Source organism: Homo sapiens, chromosome 2, assembly GCF_000001405.40.
Source record: "Homo sapiens chromosome 2, GRCh38.p14 Primary Assembly".
NCBI lineage: Eukaryota > Metazoa > Chordata > Mammalia > Primates > Hominidae > Homo > Homo sapiens.
In genome coordinates this window covers 65,630,281-65,635,893 of record NC_000002.12, presented here as the reverse complement: position 1 = coordinate 65,635,893, position 5,613 = coordinate 65,630,281, and the positions used below count along the sequence as shown (strand labels likewise).

At 43.1% G+C, this 5,613-nt stretch overlaps 1 annotated feature.

The window, feature by feature from the left end:
* Positions 1,057-1,751: an enhancer, noted in NCBI's record as "OCT4-NANOG hESC enhancer chr2:65861277-65861971 (GRCh37/hg19 assembly coordinates)". NCBI's record gives its function as "activates a minimal SCP1, AML or CMV promoter by ChIP-STARR-seq in primed H9 embryonic stem cells {active_cell/tissue: H9 hESC(primed)}" and the evidence as "EXISTENCE:reporter gene assay evidence [ECO:0000049][PMID:30033119]".

Below are 5,613 nucleotides of genomic sequence, written 5' to 3'. Positions count from 1 at the left end.
ACACACACATACCGTTTAAACATAACCCAATCATTTTACATCCACCATGTTTCCCTAGAATGTCTGATGTCAAAATAGGACAAAATTAGATCAATTAGCATTGAAAAAGCCTCTCAAAACTAAGAACTGCTATTTATCCTGTTAAAAATAAAATGTTACCACTAAAATAAGTTTCTTCTCCTAGTGATTCTGCTCTTGTTACCATGCTCCTTTTATTCTTAGGATTTTGGAACTGATAAGAGAGGTAAGCCTGATGTCTGTGGTGGTGCACTGGTAAATATTTAACAACCAGCCCCAAGTGAGGGAACAAAACTCTGATGTGTAGCATTTGTCAATTTCTATAATGTAAATACCTTTATCATGGCCAATTTCAAGCTACCAAATGGATGTTGCTGAACAATGGAGTTGGGAATATCTAGGCACAATTGGCTCCTCCAAGGTGGTACAAGCCAGTTCCACCACCACCACCAGATGCCTGGGACTCATCTCAGAGATTTTTAAATGTTCCCAGCACCTTTGACCTACGGCAGCGGTTCTAGAGGCACTCTAGTTCATAGAGCTCTTCTAGTTTGCTCTCAGCCATCTGTTTCTAGAATGTTTTCAGACATGCCTGTCAATTTCCTGGGCGAAAAATCACTTTCTAGGATCACGGGTGGAGAGGCCAATACTAGTTCCTGTGTTCAGTCAATACACAACATAATCCATATAAATCCTGGCCTCTGAGTGATCCACTCTCAAAGATGTGTTCAAAGAAAACATGTATAACATTTCAGAAGCTTTGAAAAACAGTATCAGTCTTGGGGTTTTCTTATAAAGTTTTATGCAAGTGTTTTACCCCAAAACCTTCCCAATCAACAACCCTCCTTAGACATTCTCATTCTGTCTCCAAAGTTTTATACTTACGATAATAGCTAAACACACAAACGTTTCTCTCACATTCCCTCACTGTCCCCCCACATTCATATACACACGCACACATGCACACACGCGCACACACACACACATCCTACATCACCATTCTGCTCCCTCATTCAATTCACACACCTTTATGTCAACACCACACTCTCTATCCATGACTGCCCTCATCATGCACAGTGCGCTAGGAAACATAGTTCTCCCAATCTGACTGTTTTTCTCCAGTTCTAGTGAGTGATCTTCTCTATTCCATTATAATAACAGAAGCTATTTGTGAATGTGACTTTGCAGCACCCCAATAATACTAGGGAATACTTACCTAGTTCCCATGCTATACCAGGCACTAAGGTAAGCACTTTAAGTAGAGACTCATTTAAATCGTGGAGCCAGGACTGAAACTAGGCAGAGTGGCACAAGAGCCCATTGTTCTCAACCACCATGGCCCGCTGCGTCTCAAATCCATCAGAAAGAAAGCCACTGTGGGACCTTAACCACATCAAATGTTCTGTATCTCTGTTTCCTCATTTATAAAATAAGACTAACAATAATGCCTATCTTTCAGGGTTTGGAGGAGAATTAAACGAGTTAACATATGTAAAGTCCTTAGAACAGCAGCTGGCACATAAAAAAAATTGATTATGTTAGCTAAGTGTCAGCTAGTGTTAACTAGTGCAAATCCACTCCTCACAGCCTATGGAATCCCATGACTTTTCATAGTGTCCTCTGATAGTGTCCCCTGGGTTGGCAATTTTTTTCTGTAAAGGGTCAGATAAATATTTTAGGCTTTGCAAGCCACATACAGGTCTCTGTCCCATAATTTTCTTAGTTTTTATTTGTTATCTCTTTAAAAATATAAAAACCATTCTTAATCTGTGGGCTAAAACAGATCACAGACTGGATCTGGCCCACAGGCCATAGTTTACTAACCCCCATGCTAGATAGAGAGCGCCCCATTTTAAATGCCATATGTTTTTAAAGAGGCAGCAGGTGCCATGTCTGGACACAAAGGTGGCAAGAAGCAGCCCCTGAAACAGCACAAGGAACAGGCCAAGGAGATGGACAAGGAAGATGTGGCTTTCAAGCAGAAACAAACAGAGGCTGAAGGGGCCCTGGATACAGGTGGAGTTAAGAAATCTGGCAAAAAAATTAGTACACCCACCGTGGAAAACAGTATGGAAGTTCCTCAAAAAATTAAAACTAGAACTACCGTATGAACCAGCAATTCCACTACTGGGTATATATCCAAAGGAAATGAAATCAGTATGTTGGAGAGATACCTGCACTCTCATTTTTATTGCAGAACTTCTCACAATAGGCAGCATATAAAATCAACCAAGTATCCATCAGTGGATGAATGGAAAAGGAAAATGTGGCAAATATACACAACGGAATATTATTCAACCATAGAAAAGAATGAAATCCTGTCATTTTCCACAGAATGTTGAAATGGAAGACATCATGTTAAGTGAAATAAGCCAGGCACAGAAAGGCAAACACTGTATGATCTCACTCATATGTGGGCTCTAAAAAAAAAAAAATAGTTAATGTCATAGAAACAGAGAACAGAACAGTGGTTATGACTGGGAAGAGAAGGGGAGAAGGGAGGATGGGGAGAGGTTGGTCAATGGGTACAAAGTTACAATTAGAAAGATGGAATAAATTCTGTTGTTCTATTGCACACTAGGGTGATCATGGTTAACAGTAAGGTATTACATATTAGAAAATAGCTAGAAGGCTGGTCACAGCAGCTCACACCTATAATCCCAGCACTTTGCAGCCCAAGGCAGGAGATCACTTAAGCCCAAGAATTTGAGACCAGCCTGGGCGACATAGAGAGGCTCCATCTCTACAAAAAAAAAAATTAAAAATTAGCCAGGCGTGGTGGTGCGCACCTGTGGTCCCAGCTGCTTGGGAGGTTAAGGTAGGAGGATCGCTTGAGCCCAAGAGGTCGAGGCTGCAGTGAGCCATGATTGTGCCACTACACTCCAGCCTGAGCCACAGAATGAGACCCTGTCTCAAACAAAAAAGAAAAAGAAAAGAAAAAAAAAATAGCTAGAAGCAAGGATTTTAAATGTTCTCACCACAAAGAAATTACAAATGCAGCTAGGCGCGGTGGCTCATGCCTGTAATCTCAGCACTTTGGGAGGTCGAAGCCGGTGGATCATCTGAGGTCAGGAGTTCAAGACCAGCCTGGCTAACATGGTGAAACCCCATTTCTACTAAAAATATAAAAAATTAGCTGGGCGTGGTGGCACGCACCTGTAATCCCAGCTACTTGGGAGGCTGAGGCAGGAGGATCACTTGAACCTGGGAGGCAGAGGTTGCAGTGAGCCAAGATGACACCATTGCACTCCAGCTTGGGCAACAAGAGCAAAACTCTGTCTCAAAAAAAAAAGAAAGAAATTACAAATATATGAGGTGATGAATATGCCAAATGCCCTAGTTTAATCATTATACAACATACACATGTATGGAAACATCAAACTGTTCCCATAAATATGTACAATGTGCCAATTTTTTTAGAAGTATTATAATGGGAAAAAAAGAAATCTGGCAAATAAGCTGCTCCTTGTGCCTGAGATGATGATGACCCTCAATTCCATTCCTATTTAAACATCTGGATTCTCTACCATAATATCTTTTACCACATATAACTAGAATAAAGAGTTGTCTTGGAGCCTATTGCACATTTAAGAATAAACTTGGCTGGGCATGGTGGCTTACGCCTGTAATCCCAGCACTTTGGGAGGCTGAGGCGGGTGGATCATGAGGTCAGGAGATTGAGACCATCCTGGCTAACACAGTGAAACCCTGTCTGTACTAAAAATACAAAAAAATTAGCCGGGTGTGGTGGCACGCACCTGTAGTCCCAGCTACTCGGGAGGCTGAGGCAGGAGAATTGCCTAAACCTGGGAGGCAGAGATTGCAGTGAGCCAAGATTGGTGCCACTGCACTCCAGCCTAGGCAACAGATTGAGACTCCGTCTCAAAAAATAAAATAAAAAATAAACTTTTGTAAAAAATAAAAATGAATAAATAAGTGTCATATGTTTTTATGCAAGTGAATACGGGAACTCGGAAAAACAAACATGTAGCAATTCACACAATGCCTTCGCAAATTAAGTGCCAGGCACTATGCTGGTTGCTGAGGCGAAAAAGATGGAGAAGGGTGTGGCTGGTCTCTAGGATGCTCATAGCTGGCTGGCAAGAAAGTTGCAGCACAGGGTGTGGTGAATGCTTTAATAAAGGAGCGGGGTATCAGCTCTAGGTAGGGGAAGGTGATGGATGAGGAGAGAGTCCAAAGAGGAAAAGATGCTGGAGATAAAGCTTGAGGGAGATGAGGAATTCACTCAGCAGACAGAGGCACAAGAGAGTGAGGAGGTATTCATAAAATGGCAGTGCCTGGGATCTGAGGAAGTCCAAGAGGTCAGCGAGAGCCAGACTGGGAGGAGGGGAGGGCCCAGAAGACCCCGCTGCAACACTAGGACTTTGTCCTGTAGATCTGTGGTTCTCAAACTTTTCAACATAGAAATCTGTCCTCAGGGAAAATATTTTTTTTTTTTTGAGACAGGGTCTTACTCTGTCGCCCAGGATGGAGTGCAGTGGTGCAATCATGGCTCACTGCACCCTTGACCTCCCAGCCTCAAGTGATCTTCCCACCCCAGCTTCCCAACTAGCTGGCACTATAGGCGCACACCACCATGCCTAATTTTTGTATTTTTTGTAAATGTGAGGTTACACCATGTTGCCCAAGCTGGTCTTGAATTCCTTGGCTCAGGGATCCACCTGCCTCAGCCTCCCAAAATGTTAGGATTACAGGCATGAGCTACCGTACCTGGCCAAGGAAAATCTTAATCTGGAGCCCTAGGTATAAAAGTAATCTGATTGAAGCTGGGAGGTGAGCCCACCCTCCTGCAAAGCCTCTTCACCATCGGCAGGTCACAGCTCCCTCAGAGCTTCCTGGTAGAAACAGATGAAATTTGTGGCTTCTGGCAGTGGGCAGCAAGCTGAGGGCCTGGGGAGTCCTTTGTACTTAAGCAAATTCTTCTGAAGTCAATACATTCCATCTACCTATTTTTATCTTGAACAGACATTCTGCTCTTCCCCAGTCCCTCTCCCTTTGCTGAGCTGCGTGCTGACTTGCGTCATCACAGAATTGTTTCTTGAGCATGTTTTCTCCCCATTTAGATGAATCATCCTGAGGATGGGAAGTACATCTTGCTTCTCTTGTATCTCTCTCAACAAGCAGTGCAGGGCAAGACAGGGCTGTTGAAGGGAAGGTCTCTTCCAACCTTAAGATCTCTTTTTTTTTTTCTTTTTTAATTCTTAACGTTGCAAAACTGATGTCCCATTCCACCAACCTTAAGATCTTAAAACTCTCACAGGATAAAAGTATTTTCAGGCCGGACATGGTGGCTCACGCCTGTAGTCCCAGCATTTTGAGTGGCCAAGGCAGGTAGATCACTTGAAATCAGAAGTTTGAGACCAGCCTGGCCATCATGGTGAAACCCCATCTCTACTAAAAATACAAAAAAAAAATTAGCCAGGCATGGTGGCAGCCACCTGTAATCCCAGATACTTGGGAGTCTGAGGTAAGAGAATCACTTGAACCTGGGAGGTGGAGGTTGCAGTGAGCCAAGATAGTATCACTGCACTCCAGCCTAAGTGACAGAGCGAGACTCCATCTCAATCAATAAAT